Genomic DNA, 27,966 nt, shown 5'->3' on the forward strand with positions numbered 1-27,966 from the left:
GGCCCTGTCCTACATTCCTCATTGAGACAGTCAATCCTTAAAATGATCCAGTGTCAGTTTCGGGTATTATGTCTATTCTTGAAGGTGGTGACACTGAGCCTCAGAGGAATAAGTGACCTCCCCAGCCAAGGTTCTGTAGGTACAGGAAGTTGTTTCAACTCAATTCTATCAGAATGTCAAACCTATACTGACACCCACTCCACTCTACAGTCTTCTATGATACAACCAGCTTAGCATGCTTGGTGCAGAACACTAGGTGCATGGCAATTAAGATGTGTCCCTGTTCAGAGGGAGGCTCCATAGCTGCTGGGTTTCTCTACTAAAGTCTAAAAGACATGAGAGTATCATCACGAGATAATGGACAGCTTGCTGAGAGACAGGTCAAAATTATGAAAGAAGACTATATTATTTATTCATTTTTATAAAAAACTTTGAATTTCAAAACCTCGACCAAGGTTTTCAGCTTTTCATCAGGGTAGATGAGTTAACTTGGCAAGGATACTTGGTAGTAGTTTGACACTCAGCATCAGTATTCCACTTTCTCCAGTAGCCCTTCAGTGCTTCAGGAATAAGGAAACATTTAAAAACTGCATTCCTCAGATTCCCATGTACGACATGTGCCTGTATGTTTTTAAACAAATACATATATAAGTATATATAGATTTACTATATTTTCTTAATGGTGACATAGTTTTAATTTATTCTTCATGCATTCAACACATATTTATTATACACCCTTTATGTACCCCATACTGTTCTGGAAACATGGTCTCTGCATTCATGGCACTTACAAGCTCTCTGTTATGAAAACAGACAATAAGTACATTTTAAAGTGTGTAATAAAATATGTATAAATAATAAAAATGTATACATTAGCTAGCAAAATTAATAACAATATTGATATAGTAATAATCCAAAGCATAAATGTACCAATATTTACATAACATCCCTCTAGTGATAAACATTTAGGTTTTTTTCAGATTTTTGCTTTTAAACCACAAAATGATGAGCATCCTTGTGGCTGCATCTTTGCTTTCATGTGCAAATGTGTTACTGTGAAAGAACTTTCTAAAGTTTCACAATGGTGGGTTTTATTATTTGCAGGAAATATTCACATACCAGATGGTTATTTGGACTATGAAATGTAAGGCCCTGCCAGACTGTGAGACTTTTCTAATTCCAAGATTTAATATCTTGAAGAATTTCAGACCAGTGGTTAAAGGGATGGAGAGTGAGATGGGTCCCAGTGCTGGGTGTGCCAGGCAAGCCTTACCTGTCCCTCTGCCCCAGGAGGAGTCTTCGCCAAAATTCAAGGAGGCTCCTTTCCCTCTTAACACCTTCCCCTGCCTCTTCCTTTCCCTCTCTCCCTGCTATTATTAATGGCAGGCTGGCTGCAGTGCAGGCAACATTATTGTTACCTTTCTTGGCCCTTGTCATATTTTATTCTGGAGCTTGAAGTTTTGCCGATGGTTAGTAGCTAACAGGTATAAAAATAGCCCACTTGTAATGAGGAACATAAAAATGCAAAGAGGGTTGTGGGCTCACAGAGCTGGCAGGTTAACCTTTGCAGGATTTGCTGTAGAGTATTGACCACAGCATAATAAAACTTGGGTGAGTAAAAGAGGGACAGAAGAGAGCACTTCGATGACAAATGATAGATCAGTTTACTCTTCAGAGAGGTGGGAAAGAGACTGAGTAGGTTTGCAATCAAACTCTCATTTATTCTTTGCCTCTACCTTAAAAAGAAGCAGGCTGGATTTTATTTTCTTTGGAATAATTAGGTTGTTTTTGCCTCAGTGAATAATGTTTTGCTTTATAGGCAAACTAGCCTTTCCCGTTATGCTTAAGAGACTTAAAGGTGATGGAAGATTGAGGAGTAATTGATCATTAATATCTCCAACTATTTGTATCTCATACTTGCTATGGATGAGTCGCTGAGTTGTCACCAGACATAAACAAGACATATGGTCCCTGATCTCATGAAACTGAAGGTCTGATCTGAGAAATGGACATTACGCACACAATTGTATAAGCAGTAAAGGAAGCACTGAATGGAAATATGTGTTAAGGGAAAATAATAGGTTCATATAAAAGAAAAAAGGGGAGGGAGCATCAGATTGCGTTGTAAGGAAAGGTGATGCTTGAGCTGGAACTTAAAGATGAGAAGGAGCCAATCATGTGGAAATAAGAACATTTTGGCAGAGGAAGAATATATATCAAGGTCCTGAGACAGAAGAGAAACTGAAAGGTCAGTGGGACTGGTATATAGTGAGCAAGAAATAACATGATTGTAGGTAGGCTGTGACCTGATTCTGGAGGGTTTTGAACCATGGTAAGAGCCTTGGGCATGTTCTAAAGGAGTGGAATGTTATTGAAGAGTGTCAGGAAAAAGCCTAACATGATCAGAATTAGGTATTTTTCAATGTTATTCTGGTTGCTCTTGCCTGCACTGATTGAAGTGAAACAAGGATGGACACAAGGAAATTACTTGGAAATGTATCACTGAACAAGAGATGCTGATGACTCAATCTAGAAGGGTGGTAGAGGACTTGGAAACAAAGAAGTTCAACTCAAGATAATTGTTTTTCCCCAGAAAAAATCAAGGTGACTTGATGGATTGAAAGACAGAAGTAAATAGGAGGAAGGCTTTGTGGAATGGGAACTCAAGTCACTGTGATTTTAGTGAAGTAATTCATAAAGCAGTCATTTTGAGGCAGCTTCATAAGTACTTTTCAAACCTATCCTCTTGGAAATTGTAGGATGCTTTTTTAAATTTACCTTTTTCATTGCAGTGTAACTGCAGGATGCGCTATATAACATAGTTAACTTTTCAAATGTTATCAATGCTATAGACCCAGTGTTTTCCTCCAGAGTTTCCTTCCATGTGTCCTTCCATGGTCTCTTTTGCATTTGGAAAAATGGCTTGCCATAGGAGGGACTGAATTTTCATTTTGCAGATTATCAAGTATTTCTATTCCAGGTATAAATTAGATCAGTGGTTTTCAAATGAAAGCAATGTTGTCTTCTAGGGAATGTCTAGCAATGTCTGGAGTTGATTATCACAACTGGAGAGGTGCTAATGGCATCTAGTGGGTAGAGGCCAGGAATGTTACTAAACATCTTATAGTACACAGGACAGCCCTCACAACAAAGAATTCTTCAGTCCAAAATTTCAGTAGTGCCAAGGATTAGAAACCTGAACTAGAAGAATGTTTATTGGCTTTGTGTTCTGCATGTAGCTGGAGAGGACTTGAGCCTGATCTGTGTTTACAGTCTGTTATGGGCGGGGTAGGAAACACAAAAAATCTTAAGTTCTTTTTTGTAAGTTTCTGATAAGAATGTTCAAAACTATAAAATTTACATGTGACAAATCAAATACAGAGCTGTAGACTATGAACAAAAATCTAAATATTCAATTTAATACCTTGTATTTCAAATTTAGATCATGTGTTAGCAAGCCTAACACTTAGAGTTTATACCCAATAGATACCTCCTCTAATTTCTCCCAAATTGGATCTTTACTTCTTCCCTACTTGTTAATGTGACTTCATGAGAAATACTCAGAACAACCCTATGGTGAAATGAACAAAGTACATGAATAGACAGTTCAAAAAGAAGAAATGTGTGAAACTCACAAACATGTAAAATATATTCAAAAATTTCTCATAACCACCAGAATGTGTTCCTCTTTTTTGGGGGAACAGTGGGTTGGGAAAAGTGTTGGAAGAGTAGAAGTATCCTCGAGGCATTTTTTCTCTTTTTTTGTGTGTGAGCAAGAACTGTACCATGCTGTTTTCTAAGTCATATTACTGGGGAGTAGGAAGTGATGAGAATAAAGAAAGGCCCCTTTCTACATGACTCCCCTACACATGGAAATCTCCAGGAAGCTACACAGAGGTGAGTACAGTTTTGTACAAAATTCAGGCAAAATAATGGCCCACACAACACCAAGTCATGATGGGTATCCCAGAAATAATTTACATAGGAATTTCCACCACTCTGTGAAATGGTTGGAGCATAAGTTACATACTAATGAATACTGTTGAAACACACATACAAACACACACACACACACACACACAAACATATGTGTGGGTTTTTTTCTTGTCTCCCTCATTTCTAAAAATAGCTTACTATGGATGCATTGTCTAGTCTTTCCCTTTTCCCAAATAAGATGTTGCATTGACCAATATGTGCCAATTTCAACAGTATGCATTTTTGCCTGTGTTTTAATGATAATTAAAAAACAAAAAGCCACACTGGCCAACAACTGGCAATAGTGTCATGCCTCTAGTTTGCTTCTTATAATGCTGAGAATTGCTCATCCAACAGATTGGGTTTTCCACGGCATTGTATTAATAGGTATCCAATGCCATTATCACTGGAAACCCATAGAGAGTGTCTGATTTCAGAATAACACACATGCAAAACAATGTACAATGAGAATGGAAACTTTTAAAACATTCACCTACAGGGTCAGGCTGGAAAGCATCTAGCAATTTTAGAAATTCTTCCTGAGCCACAGAGACTTTTGAATATTTTATGTATCAGAAGACCTCCTGATGGCATTTTTGTTTCCTGGTTTTCAAGTTGACGTTTATTCAATCTAATGGGAAGCCAGATTTTAGGAAATATTTCTTCTCTCTTTGGGTTCTGCAATTATGCAGGGCAAAGAAGAAACAGTTTTAATGCTCCACTGGATATTTACAGTTGGATGATATTTTTCTTGTTCAGGGGCTGAATATACCCTGGTGTGCTGTTTTAAAAATCAATCATAGATACATTTACATAGTTAGTACAAGCACAGGCAGTCCACAGAGGGGGAAAGTTTCAGTGTTGGGGAAATAAGAATTAAGAATAGAATTCCTACCAGCAACATTTTGGACCCAATTTCTACCCATTTTTCCTTTAATGCAGAGAATTTTTTAGAGTGAATTAGTTTTCCCACTGCATTGTATTAATCGGAATAAAAGTCATTATTAGAGCAAACCCATAGAGCAAGGTTGCTTAATTAGGAGGCAGTTCCTGGAATTAAAGACACAGACTTTCATAAAAACCCGATACAGTATAACAAAGTGAAATTTTAACCAATTAACTTACATCTATACAACATTAAGCAGACATTAATTGTGTACATACAGAATTCGAGGGACTATCTAAGTGATGTTTATACAGACATAAGTGAGAGGGAAATGGAAAGGAATTTACATGTTGGTATTTTTGAAAGTGTTATGTTTAAAAATATAAGTGCTGGGTTCCAATACTACCACATTCATTTAGGGATTAGATTACTAATTTAACTATCATAAGCCTTGGTTCCTGATTTGTGTCCCCTTCTCTCATCATCCCCCCCCAAAAAAGAACCATATCTGGATACTGACTTCTTACATCTCTTTGTGATAATGAAGATCAAGAAACAATGTGAACAAATTTTATGAATGTAATGCAAGGAATGACGATCCCAGGAGGATTTCAGGCACTGTTAGCAGGGTCGATGAGAGGGTATCCTGTGTGCCTGTGTGTGGAAAGCGGGGAGTGGTAGTCATGGAAAAGAAGGTTAGGAACAAAACCATGCTCACTTATTTTTTCAACAAATAATTATTGAGGCCCCTGCCAGGTGCTAATTCCTACTCCAGAGGAAGGGATGTGATAGTGAACAAAATAGATCTCTCCCTCTCCTGCCAAGAAAAACTTTCATGAACCTTACATTCTGGTGGAGGAAAGGTTTGACAAAAAAATAGATATACAAAACATATAAAATATCAGGTGTAAATAATAAAGTAGGATGATATGGAGTGTGTATGTGTGCCTTCTAATTTAAATTCAGAGGTTAGCTCTAGCTTCAGGCATGGTTAGATCCAGGAAACTGGTAAAATGATGTCATCAACATTTTTTATTTCTCCATCTGATGCTTGATTTCCTCATTACACCATAGGCCCTCTCATTATAGTAACTCCAAGAGTTCCAAGCTTATATTTTCACAAAGCTAGTGATTTCAGTGGATAAAACTTCTGTTTTCCGCGTAAACCCAGGAGGCGGAGCTTGCAGTGAGCCAAGATCGCGCCACTGCACTCTAGCCTGGGGGACAGAGCGAGACTCCATATCCAAAAAAAAAAACTTCTGTTCTCCAGTAGTTTTACCATACATCTGAAATGTTAAGTCTTGTTAGTGTGATTCATGTCGACTCCCTAACATAAACCAATCACTGGTGGAGAGAATATGTTGATAAGAGTAGGCCTGAGTCATGTGAGCATTTCAGACACCAAAGGGTTCTCCAAGTGGAAATGCGAATTCTCCTACTATAGTATGGCAGAATAAGTGTTTGGAAAGCAGAAGCAACAGATACCTAATACACTTTAACTTGCTCATCCTGCTTTTATTTTCTGATGCAACGCAAAACAGAGCTGTAGTGTTTGCATTACCTGTGTAGGGGGAAAGGGTTGTTTATATTTAGGAGCATCGTACCCCTCCCAGCAGAGTTGCTGGGAAGTGATGGGCACTCAAATAGTTGTACTAAATAAATGAGTGAGAAAATGAATGAATGTGTGGTTTTGAAACCTAATTATGGGTGACCTGCTTAAATAATATTTTCAACCACTGGTAGCATAATGAAAATTGTAAAGCATTTGTGTGTGTTTCACTGCCTTACAGTGTGAATAAAGAAACATGGCTCAACCAGTTGTAATATGGTTGGATGCTATTAGATCCTTAATTGAATAATTACTGGTGTGAGTGTTTTTTTTCCTTTACTCTGATTACTTACGTGTGGTCTATATGTAGTCTTAAAAATTCTTTATAAAGGAAAAGTGAATTTCCTTCTATTAGGTTGGTGCAAAAGTAATTGCAGCCTTGCCATTACTTTCCATTTAATAATAAAGAGAAAGATTGACATTATCTGTCTACAATGTCTGTGATGTTCCATTGAATATTTATAATTTAAAATATGCATTTTAGTTTAATAAAAATACGTGATCCAACTGGTAAATATCTTAAGTAAAGAAAACGCATTTTTGATGATTTCTATACAAGAATTTCATGGCTGAAATTCTTAGCTGTGTTTACTGTACTTCAGAAATGATTCCAGGTGATTAAATTAGTGTTGTTAGAAAGATGAAAAGGAACACTTTTTAGTACGTCTAATAAACTCTGCAGGCCTTTAGTCCTTAAATTATTCCCCAGAGAACTTCATATATAATAGGGATGTTTAACTAATGAGAAATGAAATCACAGATGGTGGTTGTAGAGGAGGATGGGCAGGGTTTCTCCATGACTGTGTAGTCTATTAAGGAGACAGTGATTGGTATTGGTCCATAGAAAGAGCCACATTAGCAATTTCATTCATAAATTGCACTTGGAAACTGGAAAGCTGAGTTGCTTTCCTTGCCCCAAATTGAACTGTTCTCTGGTGTAACTCCGTTATGCACAGATCAGTCATACCCAGAATGATAACACTGAAGTTTAACCATATTTCTGCTGGTCTCCTTTAATATTTCTTTACACTTACTTATTCTGCCATCCATTCTTTATAGTATTTTTTTCCAAAAATTTACCATGGGGCAGAAACTGTGATGAGCTGATGAGCATTTTATTACACCATCCCCTACTGTTGTTATCTCTGCTAATATTGTGACATTCTTTATCTGCATTGTCTATTAGGGAGCATTGCCCAGTGCATTCTTCCTTAGAAGTAGTATCTGCATTTTAACAGTGGTTTATCGTCCTAACTTAGTAGTTCTCAAATTTGAGTATGTACCAAAATCACCTGCAAGACTTGCTAAAACAAATTTCCGGACCCATTCCTAGAGTTCTGACTCAGTAGATCTGGGGTTATGCCCAAGAATTTTTAACCAATTCTCAAGAGAGGCTGATGGTGGCAGACCACACGTTGAGAAGCAGTGTTCGACCTCAGAATAGAAGATTATGCTGAATATCTGTTTGACGCTGAGGAGAGTTAGAGGTAGAGTGAAAAGTGCTGAGTTCTCCCCAGTTCTTTCATTTAGGGAATAGATTGCTAAATTAACTATTCCCAGCTTTGCTTTCTTGAATTGTTAATTTGTGTATGTACATGGGTAACTTCTTAGGGATTTTTGTGGAAATAAAAGTCAAGAAAGGGTATGAAATACCTTGGAGAACTCTTAGTATTATCTGGAAGAAAGGTACTGAAAATAATTCTTACACCTTCCCAAGACTAAACCAGGAAGAAGTTGAATCTCTTAATAGACCAATAACAGGCTCTGAAATTGAGGCAATAATTAATAGCTTACCAACAAAAAAAGTCCAGGACCAGATGGATTCACAGCCAAATTCTACTAGAGCTACATGGAGGAGCTGGTACCATTCCTTCTGAAACTATTCCAATCAATAGAAAAAGAGAGAATCCTCCCTAACTCATTTGATGAGGCCAGCATCATCCTGATACCAAAGCCTGGCAGAGACACAACAAAAAAAGAGAATTTTAGACCAATATCCCTGATGAACATCGATGCAAAAATCCTCAATAGAATACTGGCAAACCGAATCCAGCAGCACATCAAAAAGCTTATCCAACATGACCAAGTGGGCTTCATCCCTGGGGTGCAAGGCTGGTTCAACATACGCAAATCAATAAATATAATCCAGCATATAAACAGAACCAACGACAAAAACCATATCATTATCTCAATAGATGCAGAAAAGGCCTTTGACAAAATTCAACAGCCCTTCATGCTAAAAACTCTCAATAAATTAGGTATTGATGGGATGTATCTCAAAATTATAAGAGCTGTCTATGACAAACCCACAGCCAATATCATACTGAATGGGCAAAAACTGGAAGCATTCCCTTTGAAAACTGGCACAAGACAGGGATGCCCTCTCTCACCACTCCTATTCAACATAGTGTTGGAAGTTCTGGCCAGGGCAATGAGGCAGGAGAAGGAAATAAAGGGTATTCAATTAGTAAAAAAGGAAGTCAAATTGTCCCTGTTTGCAGATGACATGATTGTGTATCTAGAAAACCCCATCGTCTCAGCCCAAAATCTCTTTAAGCTGATAGGCAACTTCAGCAAAGTCTCAGGATACAAAATCAATGTGCAAAAATCACAAGCATTCTTATACACCAATAACACACAAACAGAGAGCTAAATCACGAGTGAACTCCCATTCACAATTGCTTCAAAGACAATAAAATACTTAGGAATCCAACTTACAAGGGATATGAAGGACCTCTTCAAGGAGAACTACAAACCACTGCTCAATGAAATAAAAGAGGATACAAACAAATGGAAGAACATTCCATGCTCATGGGTAGGAAGAATCAATATCGTGAAAATGGCCATACTGCCCAAGGGAATTTATGGATTCAATGCCATCCCCATCAAGCTACCAATGACTTTTTTCACAGAATTGGAAAAAACTACTTTAAAGTTCATATGGAACCCAAAAAGAGCCTGCATTGCCATGTGAATCCTAAGCCAAAAGAACAAAGCTGGAGGCATCATGCTACCTGACTTCAAACAATACTACACGGCTACAGTAACCAAAACAGCATGGTACTGGTACCAAAACAGAGATATAGATCAATGGAACAGAACAGTGCCCTCAGAAATAATGCCACATATCTACAACTATCTGATATTTGACAAACCTGACAAAAACAAGCAATGGAGAAAGGATTCCATATTTAATAAATGGTACTGGGAAAACTGGCTAGCCATATGTAGAAAGCTGAAACTGGATCCCTTCCTTACACCTTACACAAAAATTAATTCAAGATGGATTAAAGACTTAAACGTTGGACCTAAAACCATAAAAACCCTAGAAGAAAACCTAGGCAATACCATTCAGGACATAGGCATGGGCAAGGACTTCATGTCTAAAACACCAAAAGCAATGGCAACAAAAGCCAAAATTGACAAATGGGATCTAATTAAACTAAAGAGCTTCTGCACAGCAAAAGAAACTACCATCAGAGTGAACAGGCAACCTACAAAATGGGAGAAAAATTTTTAATCTACTCATCTGACAAAGGGCTAATATCCAGAATCTACAATGAACTCCAACAAATTTACAAGAAAAAAACGAACAACCCTATCAAAAAATGGGTGAAGGATATGAACAGACACTTCTCAAAAGAAGACATTTATGCAGCCAAAAGACACATCAAAAAATGCTCATCAGCACTGGCCATCAGAGAAATGCAAATCAAAACCACAATGAGATACCATCTCACACCAGTTAGAATGGTGATCATTAAAAAGTCAGGAAACAACAGGTGCTAGAGAGGATGTGGAGAAATAGGAACACTTTTATACTGTTGATGGGACTGTAAACTAGTTCAACCATTGTGGATGTCAGTGTGGCGATTCCTCAGGGATCTAGAACTAGAAATACCATTTGACCCAGCCATCCCATTACTGGGTATATACCCAAAGGATTATAAATCATGCTGCTATAAAGACACATGCACACATATGTTTATTGTGGCACTATTCACAATAGCAAGGACTTGGAACCACCCCAAATGTCCAACAATGATAGACTGGATTAAGAAGATGTGGCATATATACACCATGGAATACTATGCAGCCATAGAAAAGGATGAGTTCATGTCCTTTGTAGGGACATGGATGAAACTGGAAACCATCATTCTCAGCAAACTATTGCAAGGACAATAAACCAAACACCGCATGTTCTCACTCATAGGTGGGAATTGAACAATGAGAACACATGGACACAGGAAGGGGAACATCACACACTGGGGCCTGTTGTGGGTTGGGGGAGTGGGGAGGGATAGCATTTGGAGATATATCTAATGTTACATGACAAGTTACTGGGTGCAGCACACCAACATGGCACATGTATACATATGTAACAAACCTGCACGTTGTGCACATGTACCCTAAAACTTAAAGTATAATAAAAAAAAAAAGAGCACATACAATGCTGAGATAGGGTCAGTCAGGGTGTCTGTCATAGAGTGGATGGTAATAAGAAGGGAAATTTGGCATAGGATGATCTCTTTTTTATCCTCCATTTATTCAACAAATATTTATTGATCACTCTGTGTTAATGGACAGATGCCGTTGTGAATAAGAGAGACAAAAACCCATGCTTTCAGAGTGTTTACATTCTAAAAGGGAAATACGACAACAAAGAGGGTAAACAAATAGCACACTCAGTGATAACAAGTGTTATCAGGGCTTGGGTGTAAGAAGAGAAGCAATTTTAACTTATACCTAGTACATGGGCTATTATAATAATTAAAATAGCAGTTTCCAAAATTTGCTGTGCAACATAATCTCTTGTAGAAACTTGATCAGAATACAGAATCTCATACTCCACTCATAGGTATTCTTATTCAGCAGATCTGGAAGGGAGACTGAGAGTTACCCTTTTGACTGAAAGATGGCTCTGATGCAAACAGCTTTTTGGGATTCACTGAGAAATAGTAAACTAGAGGGTGGTAAGAAGGTTTAGAAATGTAGCTAGAGAGGGTTGGCCTAGAAAGGCGCATGAAACCGAAGGAACAGAAACAAGGAGAAAAAATGAGGACTAAAATCCCAATAGAGAGATGTACTGAAAAGCCAAGGCAGTACATCAGGGTGGAAAGAAATAGGTGGTAGGTCAGAGTGACCGAGGTTTGATTCTGGATTCTGACTCTTCCTCATCGGTTAGGTGGCCCTGGGCATGCCACTCAGCTTGGAACTTTAGTTCCGTTTCTTTGTGTGTGTGTGTGTGTGTGTGTGTGTGTGTGTGTATGTGTGTATGGGTACATGCACACTTGCATGTATATATATTCATCGATACACATACTCTTTGCTGACATTGTTTTAAAGCTTAGAGATAGGCTGGGCATGGTGTCTCTCACCTGTAATCCCAGCCCTTTGTGAGGCTAAGCTGGGAGGATTGCTTGACCCCAGAAATTTGAGCCTGCAGTGAGCTAGGATCACATCACTACACTCCAGCCTGAGTGACAAAGTGAGGCTCTGTCTCAAAAACAAACAAGGCTAGAGATAGAAAATATATGCCAAGTGCCAGGTACTGCGTCTGGACAAAATGTAGCCATGACAGTGATCTTTATTTGCAGTCATATGCAGTTCAGTTAGAATACATTCTCAAAACATTCTATGAGGACTAAGAGAACCTAAAAACATAAAAGCTGTGCAAGGAGAATCTTGAGACTTATCATGTTCTTCAGAATATCTTTTGAATGTAGGCATATGCCAGGAAAATTTTCATGTCAGAAAATAGTTTGGAAATAGTCAATTTGGTAGAACTCTCGGGAGCTTTGCTGCCACTGAATTCTCTTTCTCTGTGTTTTTTGAGTACTTGTCAAAGACCTAAGGAAATCAATAGTTCTGAGGCCATCACTTGGCACATAAAATATCTAACATAGTGGAACTAAGAGTTTTTACATTATTTCATGTGTACCATAAGGGCCGCTTTCTCTTTCCAACTGAATCCCAGGATGGATGAAACATTTCTTTGCCTGCTGGAAATTAACTTTATTTGGCATCCTTTCTGGCTTTTGTTGCCTATTCTGAATGTTTATGTTTTTACAATAAGCATTATATGATGCCCTTAAGAGCATCCATCGTCGTGTTCAGTGTTTGTCCAAAAGAGAACCAACTAGGCTTTTTATTCCTGAGACTGAACTGAATCTCCAACACAGTGAAAAAATAATACAATGGCAAACTCAGTGTGTTAGTGGTTTCATGGGACTGAAGATCAGAAGAAATGCTCTTAGTTCTTTCCTACAGATGAATAAATTACAAATTTGGGCTTTTAAATAAACATGTCTTTAGTTCAATTTTTTTTTCCTGACATTTTTCAGATATCCAGCATTTGTTCCAAGTAATCTGTTTTGTGTTTTGATTCTAACTGTAAGAATGTTACTGCCTGATTAAGTCCGTAGGATCTAGACACTGGCCCCTTGGGTCCCACTTTCTGACTTTATGCCATCGGTTTTTTAAGTGACATGTCCATTTTTTTATCCTGCAAAAAATATAAAGTGCAGGAAATTATTTTTTGCCCCCATGGCCTCCTAGCACAGAAATGGGCACATTATTGGCATTAGGTAAATTATTTGATTAAATTTCACTGATTAAAACAAGGAGTTAGAGTCCTTGTTAGCTCCTCTATTTCCTCTGCAATGGAATTTTCCTAAATGTGTTCTACAGAAGATTAGTCCTATAAAGTTCTCTGTTAAAGAGGAGTTTGTGGTCATATAAGTTTAAAAAACACTGTGTGTATTGATCCCCTCGTGGATATTCATAGCACACATTGGATACAAAGTTCTGAAAAAATTTAGCATTAAGGATCCTATTTAACATCATATAATTAGTTGGCTTCCCAAAAAAAATTGAGCAAGCAACCCCTTATTTTTACTTTATTTTTATTTTTATTTTATTTTAAGTTCCGGGATACACGTGCAGAATGTGCAGGTTTGTTACATAGGTAAATATGTGCCATGGTGGTTTGCTGCCCCTACCAACCCATCACCTGGGTATTAAGCCCCGTATGCATTAGCTATTTATACTGGGCTCTACCTCCACCCCTCACCCCCCACAGGCCCCGTTGTGTGTTGCTCCCCTCTCTGTGTCCATGTGTTCTCATTGTTCAGTTCCCACTTATAAGTGAGAACATCCAAGCAACCTCTTTCTATTGCTTCTTCTTTTTTTTATTTTTTTATTTTTATTTTATTTTATTTTTGGCTGTGAGAACTCTTTGAGAAATCCTGCTGTACCACACTTGAGCATCACAGTCAATTTTCTAATATTATTTTTAATTTTTATAAAGACAAGGTCTAGCTTTTGTTGCTCAGGCTAGTCGCTAACCCCTCGCTTCAAGCAATCCGCCCGTCCTAGTCTCCTGAGTAGCCAGGATTACAGGTGTGAGCCACCATGCCTGGCTCCAGTTCAATTCAATAAATGTTCTCTGAGAACCTACTGTATGCAAAGTAGTATGAATGTCTAGTCTCTAGAATTTCCCCATCTTTATATATAGGTAATAATACTGAATTATATGGAATCAAGTGCTGATTTCATGTGCTGTAAAACAAACATGATTGATAAAGAAGAAAGACAATCTTATAGGCAGGGGCAATTAGAGAATGGTTGAATACTGGAAAGATTTTTAAACAGGGTTTGAAAAATGGAAAAGGCTTTGTACATTAATATCAATGATGATAATAATAGCAAACACTTAGTGCTAGGTACTGTGGTGAGAGTGCTGTGGGTCCTTTGATCTTCCCAACTACCCTAAACATAGGTACTATTATTACCTGTATTTTACAGTTGAGAACACTGAGACAGAGAAAGCTTAAGTAACTTCCCAGGTATGTGGCTAGAAGTGAAGGATGTGAACTTGGGAAGGCTAACCCCAAAGCCCATGTTCTCAACTACTGTGCTAACCAAGACGGTTCCACAGTGGTCATTATGTTCATAAGTTAACTGCATCTGTGATCATTGCCTGGTTACTCCCTAGTATCTTTTTCAAGAAATAAGGAAGATTGCTCAAGAATCTAAGTTCCAGTGCTGCTCCAACACTTACCCAGCTGTGTAGATTTTGCAAGGTACTTACTGTCTCCGAGTCCTAGTGTTCTCACTTCTGAAACAGGTAGGTTGGCAGTATCTGCCTCATGCAGTCCTGGTAAGGAATGAAAAGTTGCACATGAAGTGTTGAACATAGTTCCTGGTACATATTAAATGTACAATATATAGTGGTGACTGTGAGAAAGTTTTAAATGTTAGATTTTACATAAAGCAGCATCTAATTTTGCAGAAATTAAATTCTTCACTGGTTTGATAGGTATACCTCTTCTCTATCCATATGATTTACCCTCTCTTTTTAAAATAAGGTTCTGAGATGAATATAAAAAATGGAAAAGAATTTAAGTAAATACCCCTCTGTAATCCCTGAACACATCTGACTTTACATTTATTTTGATCCATAGATCCAGAATCACAAACTTGCCTGTAAAGGGTCAAATAGTAAATTTTAGGCTTTGTTGGACATAGTGGCTCTGTTGCAAACTATAGTCATCCCTCAGTATCAATAAGATAATAGTTCTAGGACCCCTGTGGATAACATAATCTGAGGATGCTCAGGTCTTAGAGCCGGCCCTTGACATCCACACGTTCTGCATCTGCAGATAAGGACAGGCAACTCTACATGACTCTGCCATTGTAGTACAAAAGCAGCCAAAGATGGTATTGAGTTGGTTCAGTGGGTACAAACATACAGTTAGACAGAAGGTACAAGTTTTAATGTTCAATAGCAGAGTAGGATGACTGTACTTAGCAACACCGTATTCTATATTTCAAAACAGCTAGAAGAGAGAACTTGAATTGTTCCCAAAACAAAGAAATATTCAATACTCAAGGTGATCGACATCCCAAATACCCTGTCTTGGTCATTTTACATGCTATGCATGTAAAAAACAACCAGATGTACCCCATAAATATGTAAAATATGATGTATCACTAAAAATAAATAAAATAATGAATCAATAAAATGAGCATAACTATGTTCCAATAAAATGTCATTTACAAAAACAGGCAACAGGCCAGACAGTTTGGTTTACAGACAGTTTTATCAACCGTTAGTCTAGAAAAACAAAAATTTTCATTAAAATTTATCCCGTACTTGTCTATTTGTTCATTGATTTAATTGTATTTCTTGTGGTAAAATATCCACAACGTAATATTTACTATCTTAACCTTTTTTTTCCTACTCTCTAAAGGGAAGGGAGAAACTAGCTATTCTCACGAAACTTGCCTTTTTGTTAAATGCCTTTACTCTCTAGATTTTTTCCTTATATACTATTATTATTATCTTTTTAAGATGACAAATAAAAATTGTATGCATTTATGGTAAACAACATGATGCTTTGAAATATGTATACATTGTGGAGCTAAATAACATATGCATTACCTTATATGCTTATCATTTATTTGTGGTGGGAACACTTGAAATCTCTTAGAAATTTTCAAATACATAATGCATTGTTATTAATGATTTGTACAATAGATCTTTTGAACTTATTCCTTCTGTTTAACTGAAATTTTGTACTCTTTGAAAAACATCTTCCCAACCCCACCCCAGCCACTAGTAACCACCATTCTACTCTCTGCTTCTATGACTTTGACTTTTTTAGATGCTGTGTATAAGTGAGATCTGCAGTATTTATCTTTCTGTGTCTGGCTTATTTCACTTAACATCAGGTCCTCCAGTTTCTATCCTAACCATTTTTAAGTGTACACTTCATTGATATTAAGTACATTTAAATTATTATGAAAGCATTACTACCACTTGTCTCCTCAACTCCTTTCATCTTGCAAAACTCAAACCCTATACCCGTTAAACAATAATTTCACCTGCCCCTCAGGCCCTGGCAACCATCATTCTACTTTTTATCGCTATAATTTTGACTAAGTACCACGAACAAGTGGGATCTTACGTATTTGCTTTTTTGTGACTGGCATATATTTAGCATAACGTCCTCAAGGTTTATTCAAGTTGTAGCATATATCAGAATTTCCTTCCTTTGAAAGCTGAATACTAATTCCATTGTATGGATACCCACATTTGCTTATCCTTAAATGTGGTTGCTTCCACATTTTAGCTATTGTAAACAATGCTGCTATAAAACCTTGGTGTATTAATATCTCTTCAAGACTCTGCTTTCCATTATTTTTTGAGTATATACCCAGAAGTAGAATTGCTGGATTATATGATCACTCAATTTTTAAGTTTCTGATAAACCACCATACTATTTTCCACAGTGGGATGTTCCATTTTAGATTCCCACAGGCAGTATACAATTCCAGTTTCTACACATCCTTGCTAACACTAATTATTTTCTCTTTTGCTGATAGTAGACATCCTAATGGGTTTGAGATGGTATCTTATTGTAGTTATACTTTTCATTTCCCCAATGATACTGATTTGGGGCATCTTTTCATATGCTTATTGGCCATTTGTTACCTTCTTTGGAGAAATGTCTGTTTGTGCAAGTCTGTTGTCTAATTTTGAGTTACTTTGTTTATTTTTAAGTTACTGAGTTTTAGGAGTTCTCTCTATATTCTGAATATTAATCCTTTATCAGAAATATGATTTAGACATATTTCCTCCCATTCTGAGGGTTGCCTTTCTTTTCTGTTTTTTTTTAGAGGTGGGGTCTTTTTATGTTGCATAGGCTGAAGTGCAGTGGCTATTCAGAAGGCATGATGATCATAGTGCGCTACAACCTCAAACTTCAAGGCTCAAGTGATCCTCCTGCCTCAGTTTTCCAAACAGCTGAAATTAGAGGGTGTATAATAACATACCTGGCTTTGTGGGTTGCCTTTTGACTCTGTTGATAGAATATTTAATGCACAAAATTTTTAAATTTTCTTAAAGTTACATTTGTCTGCTTTTTTTCTTTTCTTGCCTTTTTAAAATTTTCTTGCCTTTGCCTTTGGTGTCATATCCAAGAAAGCATTGCCAATTTCAAGGTTGTAAAGCTTTTGTTCTATGTTTTCTTCTAAGAGTTTTATAGCTTTAGCTCTTGCATGTAGGTCTTTGATCCATTTTGAATTACTTTTTGTATATGTGTTAGGGAAGGAGTCAGCTTCATTCTTTTGCATGTGGATGTCCAGTTTCCCCAGCACCATTTGTTGAAATGATTATATCTTCCCTATTAAATGATATTGAAACCTTTGTCAAAAATCATTTTACCATATATGTCAAGGTTTTTTTATTCTATTTTATTCCGTTGGTCTATGTATCTGTATTTATGCCATTATCACATTGTTTTGATTATTGAGGCTTGGTAGTAAGTTGTGAAATCAGGACATATGAGTCCTTTAGTTTTGTTCTTCCCTTTCAGGATTGTTTTGGCTCTTCAGGATCTCTTAAGGTTCCATGTGAATTCTAGCATAAATTTTTCTACTGCAAGAAAGAAAGAAAAGAAAAGAAAAAGATATTCTTGAAATTTTGATAGGGATTGCATTAAATCTGTAGATCATTTTGAATAGTATTGACATCTTAACAATATTAAATCTTCCAATCCATGAACATGAGGTGCGTTTCCATTTATTTATGTCTTTTTAAATTTCTTTCAGAATCGATTTGTAGTTTTCATTGTAGAAATATTTTACCTCTTTGGTTAAATCATTTTGAAGTATTTTATTCTTTTGATGCTATTTTAAATGGAATTGTTGGTATTGTTTTCTTTCATTTTTGAATTGCTCATTTAAGTGCATAAAAATGCAAATGATTTTTGCATGTCGACTTTGTATCCTTTTACTTTATTGAATTTGTTAGTTATAACAGAGATTTTTTGGTGGAATATTTAGGGTTTTCTACATATAAATTATATTTGTGAACAGAGATAATTTTATTTCTCCCTTTCAAATTTAGATGCCAGCTGGGCACAATGGCTCATTCTTGTAATCCCAGCATCTCAGGAGGCCGAGGCAAGAGGATCACTTGAGGTTCGGAGTTCAAGACTGGCCTGGTCAACATAAAGACCAAGTCTCTATAAAAAGTAAAAAAAAAGCAAAATAAATTTGGATGCTTTTTATTTCCTTTCCTTGCCTAATTGCTCTGGCTGTGACTTCCAGTTCCACGTGAAATAGAAGTGGTGAAAGCAAGTCTTCTTGCCTTGATTCTAATCTTATAGCAAATGCTTTTATTCTTTTACCATTGAGTATGATATTCACTGTGGGTTTTTCATATGTCTTTTATGATATTGAGATAGTTTCCTTCTATTTTTAGCTTGTTGAATGTTTCTGTCATGAAAAGGTGTTGAATTTTGTCAAATGCTTTTTATGTATCAGTTGAGATGATCATGTGGTTCCTCCTGCTTCATTCTGTTAATACGTTATATCAAATTGTTGAATTTTGATACGCTAGATTATTCTTGTATTCCAGGAATAAATCCCACTTGGCCATAGTTTATAATCTTTACAATATACTTTTGAATTTGGTTTGCTAGTATTTTGTTGATAATTTTTGCATTAATATTCATAAGGAAGAATTATCTGTAGTTTTATTGTAGTGTTTGTCTGTCTTCCATATCAGGGCAATGCTGACCACATAGATTGAGTTAGGGAGTGTTCCCTCTTCTTCAATATTTTGACAAAAGGTTGGAAAGGATTGCTATTAATTCTTTAAATGTTTGATAGCATTCACCCAATGAAGCCATCAGGTTCATGGCTTTTCTTTGTCTGGAGATTTTGATTATTGATTCAGTCTCCTCACTAGTTATATGTCTATTCAGATTTTCTATTTCTGCCTGGCTTAATCTTGGTAGGTTTTGTGTTTCTGGGATTTTGTCCATTTTCTATAGGTCATCTAATTTGTTGGTGTACAATTGCTCATCATATTCTCTTTTTTATTTCTGTAGCATTTGTACGTACCACTTTTATTTTTATTTTAGAAATTTGAGTCCTTTTTTGCTTAGTCTATCTTGCTGAAGAGTTGTCAATTTTGTGGATATTTTTGAAGAACCATCTCTTGATTTCACAGATGTTCTGTATTATGTTTCTTTTCTCTATTTCATTTTTTCTTTGCTCTAATTTTTATTATATCCTTCCTTCTGCTATCATTGGGTTTCCTTTATTCTCTTTCTAGTTTCTTAAATCATAAAACACTGTATTTTCCTTCCATTTGGTCTGGAGGTCTCTCATAGGAGAAGTGGTTATGAACTCTCACCCTGCACTGGCAGGGATCCAGGGGATTTGCTAGTGGATGATTACAATGTGCTTTTCATGGAATACTTCTTTATCCTAGCAGATGGCCTAACGCATAAATGTTTGACCATGACCTGCTGTTCCTCACAGGAAAATTGTACTGGCAAACCCAATATTAGCTCTTATTTAACCTATATCTATTTTATTCCTACCAAAATATCCAATCTCTAAGAGAGGCCTGATGAGGAAAGAAGCTAGTTTTGGATGTGTCAGTCAGGTGACAACCAGTAGAAGCAACTCAACAAATCACATAAAATAACAGAAGCAATGTATTACTTACAAATCCCAGCTAGAGCATGCCTCGCAGGGCCAGTGGGAAAAGGGAGCCTTCTAAGACATGAATGTTAAATCAGATGGTAGGAAGCAAGAGAGAGAGAATGGGACCTGTGAGCCAGAGCATCTGTTGGGGTCTAAGGCATTGCTCAAACTGATTTCTCATGGGGCATACTAATTGGTGGTTTTGGAGCAAGCAGGCACAAGTTCTGTGGAGTCCCACTGTGACTGAAAGGTGATCACTCTGTTATATCTTCACAGTCCATTCAGAATGTGGGGGTCAGTGGAGAAGGTCAAGTGGGTTGTACCTAGCTGTCCCATGGGGAGGTGGATGTATAAGGCAGATATCTCTATCAATCACCTTGAGGAACTGGAAGGAGGCAGAGAACTAGAGACGGTGTCAAAGGTGACCAATTCTTGATTCTTGTATAAGACAGTCCAATTTATTTTCAAAATGGATGTTGAGGCACCATAAATTGTAGGAATTCACTACATAAATTTAGGTTGTCAATAGAAGATCTTTCTTATTTTCTAATATAGGCATTTATAGCTATAAATTTACACCTTAACACTGCATTTTCATTTGTCTCTAAGTGTTTTCTAATGCCTCTTGTGATTTACTCTTTCATCTGTTGGTTATTTAAAAGCATGTTGTCTAATATTCACAAACTTGTGAATTTTTCGATTTTCCTTCTGTTATTGAATTCTAATTTAATCCTGTTGTAGTCACAGAAGATACTTTGTATTATATCCATTGTTTTAAATCTAATGAGTCTTAATTTGTGGCATAACATATGGTTTATCCTGGAAAATGTTGGAGGAGCATCTGAGAGGAATGTGTATTCTGTTAAATCTAGTTAGTTTACTGTGATGTTCAAGTCCTGTATTTTCTTATTATCTTCTTTCTGGTTCTGTCCATTACTGAAGTAGAAATGTCTACTTCTCCCTTCACTGTTTTCAATTTTTGCTTCATATGTACACATGCACACTATATATGATATATGAACATTTATATGCACATATATACACACACATACACACACTATATATAGTATATATGTACACACTCTATATAGTTTTCAAATTTTTAATTTTATGTGTGTATAGCATATAAATATATATATATATATGGGATATATTAGATATTTTGATACAGACATACAATGCATAATAATTACATCAGGGTAAATGGGGTATTCGTCACCTCAAGAATTTATCATTTATTCATGTTACAAGCATTCCACTGATACTCTCTTAGTTATTTTTAAATATACAATAAATTGCTAGTTCAACCATTGTGGAAGTCAGTGTGGCGATTCCTCAGGGATCTAGAACTGGAAATACCATTTGACCCAGCCATCCCATTACTGGGTATATACCCAAAGGACTATAAATCATGCTGCTATAAAGACACCTGCACACGTATGTTTATTGCGGCATTATTCACAATAGCAAAGACTTGGAACCAACCCAAATGTCCATCTATGATAGACTGGATTGAGAAAATGTGGCACATATACACCATGGAATACTATGCAGCCATAAAAAATGATGAGTTCATGTCCTTTGTAGGGACATGGATGAAATTGGAAATCATCATTCTCAGTAAACTATCGCAAGAACAAAAAACCAAACACCACATATTCTCACTCATAGGTGGGAATTGAACAATGAGATCACATGGACACATGAAGGGGAATATCACACTCTGGGGACTGTTGTGGGGTGGGGGGAGGGGGGCGGGATAGCATCGGGAGATATACCTATGCTAGATGACGAGTTAGTGGGTGCAGTGCACCAGCATGGCACATGTATACCTATGTAACTAACCTGCACAATGTGCACATGTACCCTAAAACTTAAAGTATAATAAAAAAATAAATAAATAAATAAATAAATAAATAAATAAATTGCTGACTATAGTCACCCTGTTGTGCTATCAAATACTAGATCTTATTAATTCTATCTAACTATATTTTTGTACTCAGTAGCTATCCCCCGCCCACCCCCAATCCCACAATTACCCTTCCCAGACTCTGGTAACCGTCCTTCTACTCTGTCTCTATGAGTTCAGTTGTTTTAGTTTTCAGCTTGCCCAAATGAGTGAAAATATGCAAAGTTTTTCTTCCTTTGTGTGACTTATTTCACTTAATGTAATATCCTCCAGGTCCGTCCATGTCACAAATGACAGGATCTTATTTTTTTTTATGGTTGAATAGTACTCTGTTGTGTATCTGTACCACATTCTCTTTATCCATTCATCTGTTGATGTACACTTAGGTTGCTTCTAAGGCTTGGATATTGTGAATACTGCTGAAGTGTCTCTTTAAAATACTAATTTCATTTCCTTTGGATAAATACCCAGTAGTCAGATTGCTGGATCGTGTGGTAATTAGATCTTTAAATTTTTTAGGAACATCCATACTATTCTTCAGAGTGGTTGTACTAATTTACATTCCCACCAACAGTGTACAAGGGTTCCATTTTCTCCATATCCATATCCTTACCAGCATTCATTATGGCCTTTTGGATAAAAGCCATTCTAACTGGGATGAGATGATATTTCATTGTAGTTTTGATTTGCATTTCTCTGATGATCAATGATACTGAGCACCTTTTCATATACCTGTTTGCCATTTGTTAAGTCTTTTTTTCTTTTCTTTTTTTTTTTTTTTTTTTTGGAGACAGAGTTTGCTCTTGTTGCCCAGGCTGGAGTGTTGGCCAGGCTGGTCTCGAACTCCTGACCTCAGATGATCCACCCACCTCAGCCTCCCACAGTGCTGGGATTACAGGTGTGAGCTACCACACGTGGCCCATTTATTAAGCATTCTTTGAGAAATGTCTATTCAGATATTTTGCTCATTTTTAATTAGATTATTAGATATTTTCCTATAGAGGTATTGGAGCTCCTAATATATTTGGGTTATTAATCCCTTTTCAGATTAATATTTTCAAATATTTTCTTTCATTGTTTGAGTTGCCTCTTCACTTTATTGATTGTTTTGACATGCAGAGACTTTTTAACTTGATGAGATTGCACTTGTATTTTTGCTGTGGTTGCCTGTGCATGTGGGGTATTACTTAAGAAATCTTTGCCCAGACCAATGTCCTGGAGATTTTCTCCAAAGATTTTTTAAATTAGTTTCATAGTTTGAGGCCTTAAATGTAAGTCACTAATCCATTTTGATCTTATTATTATATATTGCAAGAGATATAGATCTAGTTTCATTTTTCCGCATAGTGATATCTAGTTTTCCCAGCACCATTTATTGAAGAGACTGTCCTTTCCCCAGTGTATGTTCTTGGCACCTTTTTTGAAAATGAGTTCACTGTAGATGCATGGATTTATTTGGGGGTCCTATGTGCTATTCCACTTGTCTGTGTATCTGTTTTTATGCCAGTACCATGCCAATTTGGTTACCATAGCTCTGTAGTATAATTTGAAGTCAGGTTCTTATGGTTTTGTTCTTTTTGCTTAGGAGAGCTTTGGCTATTCTGGGTCTTTTGTGGTTCCATATAAATTTTAAGATTTTTTTTTCTATTTCTTTGAAGAATGTCGTTGGTATTTTGATGAGGAATTGCATTGAATGTCTAGATTGTTTTGGGTAGTATGGACATTTTAACGATATTGATTGTTCCAATCCACAAACATGGAAATATTTTTTCCATTTTTTGTATATCTTCCTCAATTTATTGCATCAGTGATTTATAGTTTTCGTTATAGAGATCTTTCACTTTTTTGGTTCAGCTTACTCCTAGTTGTCTTATTTTATTTGTAGTTGTAGTAAATGGGATTACTTTCTTGATTTCTTTGTTAGGCTGTTCACCGTTGGCATGTAAAAATGCTACTGATTTTTGTATGTTGATTGTATATCCTGTAACTTTAATGCATTTGTTATCAGTTCTAATCTTTTTTTGGTGGAGTCTTTAGGTGTTTCCAAATGTAAGATCATATAATATGCAACCAGGATAATTGGACTTCCTTTCCAATTTGGAAGCCCTTTATTTCTTTCTCTTGTCTGGTTGCTCTAGCTAGGACTTCCAGTACCATGTTGAATAACAGTGGTAAAAGTGGGTATCCTTGTCATGTTCCTGATCTCGGAGGAAAGGCTTTCAGTTTTTTCCCCATTCAGTATAATACTACCTGTGGGTCTGTCGTATATGTCTTTAATTGTGTTGAGCTATTTCTTCTATCCCCAGGTTTTTTAGAATTTTTATGATAAAGGGATGTTGAATTCTATCAAATCTTTATTCAGCATCAACTAAAATGATTTAAAATACATCATTAGATTATGTAAGTGTTTCCTTTTATTTATTTATTTATTTTTGTAGGCACTTATAGCTATAAACTCTCCTCTTAGTACTGCTTTTGCTGTATCCCATGGGTTTTGGTATATTGTTTTTTCATTATTTGTTTCAAGAAATTTTTCAATTTCCCTCTATAATCTCTTCATTGACCCACTCATCATTTAGGAGCATATTGTTTAATTTACCTGTGTTTGCATAGTTTCCAAAATTCCTCTTGTAATTGATTTCCAGTTTTATTCTATTGTTGTCAGAGAAGATATTATTTCTATTTTTTGGAATGTTTTCAGACTTGTTTTGTGACCTAACATATGGTCTATCCTTGAGAATGATCCATGTGGTGAAGAGAAGAATGTGAATTCTGAAACCTTTGGATAGAATGTTCTGTAAATATCTATTAGGGCCATTTGATATACAGTTCAGTTTAAGTCCAGAGTTTCTTTACTTGATTTTATGTCTGGATGATCTCTCCAATGCTGAAACTGTGGTGTTGAAGTCTCCAGCTATTCTTGTATTGGGATCTCTCTGTCTCTTTAGTTCTAATATTATTTGCTTTGTATATCTGAGCGCTCCATTCTTGGGTGCATATAAATTTTCAATTGTTAAATCCTGTTGCTGAATTGATCCCTTTATCATTATATAATCTTTGTCTTTTTTTATAGTTTTTATCTTGAAATCTATTTTGTTTGATAAAAGTATAAGGACTCCTGCTCTCTTTTGGTCTCTATGGCATGGCATATCTTTTTCCATCCCTCTGTTTTCAATCTATGTGTGTCTTTATAAGTGGAGTGTGTTTCTTGTAGGCAACATAAATCTATTTAGCCAGTCTATGTCTTTTAATTGGACAGTCTATTCCATTTATATTCAATATTATTATTGATAAGTAAGGACTTGCTCCTGCCATTTTGTTATTTATTTTCTAGTTCTATTATTGTCGTCTCTTACTTCCTTCTTTCTTTCCTTTCTTCCTTTTAGTGAAGAAGATTTTCTCTGGTGATATTTTTAAATGTTTTACTTTTTATTTTTTGTGTATGTGTTGTAGGTTTTTATATTTGAGATTACAATGAGGCTTGCACATAACAAGTTTAACCCATTATTTTAAACTGATGACTACTTAATGATTACTGTAAAAAGAAACAAACTAACAAAGAGAAAACTAGTAAAAACTTTATGCTTTAACTTTACTACTCCCCTGCTTTATAACCTTTGTTGTTTCTCTTTATATCTTATTATACTGTCTATGTTTTGAAAAGTTGCTGTAGTTATTATTTTTGATATGTTGATTTTCGTCTTTTCACTCAAGATTTGAGTAGTTTAAATACCTCAATTACAGGGGTTATAATAGTCTGTATTTGTCTGTGTGCTTACAGTTACCAGTGAGTTTTGTACTGTCACATGATTTCTTACTGCTAATTAATACCTTTGTCTTTCAGATTGAAGAACTCTCTTTAGCCTTTCTTGTAAGATAGATCTGGTGTTGATAAAATTCCTCAGCTTTTGTTTGTCTGGGAAAGTGTTTCTGTTTCATGTTTGAAAGATGTTTTCACTGGATATACTATTCTAGGATAAAAGTTTTTTTTTTTTTTCCTCAGCACTTTACATATGTCATGTCACTCTTTTCTGGCCTGTAAGGTTTTCATTGAGAGAAGTTTTCTGTCAGATGTATTGAAGCTCCTTTTTATGTTATTTATTTTGTTTGCTGTTTTTGGAATCGTTTCTTAATCCTTGATCTTTGGAAGTTTGATTAGAAAATGCCTTGAGGTAGTCTTCTTTGGGTTAAACCTGCTTGATGTTCTATAAGCTTCTTGTACTTGAATATTGATAACTTTCCCTAGGTTTGGAACATTCTGTTATTATCCCTTTGAATAAACTTTCTACGGCTATCTTCTTCTCTATCTCCTCTGTAAGGCCAATAACTCTTAGTTTTGCCCTTTTAAGGCTATTTCCTGTATCTTGTAGGTATGCTTCATTCCTTTTTATTCTTTTTTCTTTTGTATCCTCTGACTATACATTTTCAAGTAGCCTGTCTTCAGACTCACTAATTCTTTCTTCTGCTTGATCAGTTCTGTTGTTGAGAGACTGATGCATTCTTCAGTACATCAATTGAATTTTTCAGCTCCAACATTTCTGTTTGATTTTTAAAAATTATTTTAATCTCTCTCTTACATTTATCTGCTGGGACTCTGAATTTCTTCTGTGTTTTATCTTGAATTACTTTGAGTTTCCTCGAGGAAGGTATTTTTGTATTCTCTGAGAAGTCACATATATCTCTCACTCCTAGATTGGCCCACTAATGCTTTCTTTATTTTGTTTAGTGAGGTCATGTTTTCCTGGATGGTATTTGTTGCTTGTGGATGTTTGTTGATATTTGTGCATTAAATATTTAGATATTAGATATTTATTATAGTCTGGACTTATTTGTATTTATCCTTCTTGGGAAGGCTTTCCAAGTATTTAAGAGGAATTCAGTATTGTAATCTAAATCTTTGGGCACTGAAGCTGGCTTGTAGAGGTACCACCTTGGTGGTCTTGGGTTATATTTGGGAGAATTCCCTGTATTACCAACTTGTTATCTTCTCTTACTTTCTCCTAGACAAATAGAGTCTCTCTTTTCATGATGAGCTTCCTGGAGCTGGGGGTGAGGTTATACAAGCACCACTGTGGCCACCAACACTGGGATTGTGCTGGGTCAGACCCAAAGTCAGCATAGTACTAGGTCTTACCCAAAGCCTGCAGCAACCACTGCCTATCTACCACAGATGTTTACTCAAGGACCAAGCATTCTTCAGTCAGCAGGTGGAAAATTCAGCCAGACTTTTGTCCTTCCCTCAGGGCAGTTAGCTGCCCCAACCCTCCAGCCTTGGACATGTCCAGGAATGCCATCTGGGAGGTAGGGTCTGGAGTCAGGGATTTTAGGAATCTACTTGGTGCTCCATTCTACTACAGCTTAGCTGGCACCCAAGCATCAAGACAAAGTCCTTCCCACTCTTCCCTCCCTTTTCCATAAGCAGAGGAGTCCCTTCCCATGGCCACCACTGTCCCAGGCCCCTAGTGAATGCTACTGGGCTACCATTGATGTTCACTCTAGGCCCAAAGGTCTTTAGTTAGCTTGTGGCAAATGCTACCAGGCCTGGGTCTCTCCCTTCAAGGAATTGGGTTCACCTGTAACCAAGGGTGGTTCCAGAAATGCCATTCAGGAGCCACAGCTTAGAATCTGGAACCCCAGGAGCCCACTTAGTAATCTACCCCACTGTGGCTAATCTGGTTCCCAAGCTGCAAGACAAAGTCTCCTTTACTCTTTTCTTTCCTCAAGCAGAAGGAGTCTGTCCTCATGGTCACCATAGCTGGTAATGTACTGGGTCACACCTGAAGCCAGCATAGCCCTAGGTCTCACCTGAGGCCCTTAGCCACTGAGGTTCATTCATGGCCCATGGGCTTATTAGTCAGCAGGTGATGAATCCTACCAGGACTGGTAGGATTCCCAGGGAAGCAGCTTCCGTTATGGCCTAGGGTGTGTCTATATATGTCATTCAGGAGCTAGGGCCTGGAATGGGGGCCTCTGGATTCCACTTGGTAACCTCTTTTAAGGGCTGTGTTTGCACTAGTATCTAAGTTGCAAGGCAAAGTCCTCTTTACTGTTTCCCTTTTTCTCCTCAAGCAGAAGGAAGGA

General features: G+C 36.7%; 1 protein-coding gene and 1 long non-coding RNA gene across 5 annotated transcripts in view; one reads left to right on the forward strand and one right to left on the reverse strand.

Moving 5' to 3' along the window:
• SGCD (sarcoglycan delta) overlaps window positions 1–27,966 on the forward strand; it is a 1,039,957-nt gene that overhangs the window by 548,094 nt on the left and 463,897 nt on the right. The window lies entirely within an intron of this gene.
• The window catches only part of LOC124901120 (uncharacterized), an 85,782-nt gene continuing 72,378 nt past the window's right edge, over window positions 14,563–27,966 (reverse strand). Inside the window, exon 3 of the long non-coding RNA XR_007059016.1 lies at window positions 14,563–14,628. This is a non-coding gene — a long non-coding RNA (uncharacterized LOC124901120). The remainder of the gene's footprint in view (window positions 14,629–27,966) is intronic.

This window comes from Homo sapiens, chromosome 5, assembly GCF_000001405.40.
Source record: "Homo sapiens chromosome 5, GRCh38.p14 Primary Assembly".
Lineage (NCBI taxonomy): Eukaryota > Metazoa > Chordata > Mammalia > Primates > Hominidae > Homo > Homo sapiens.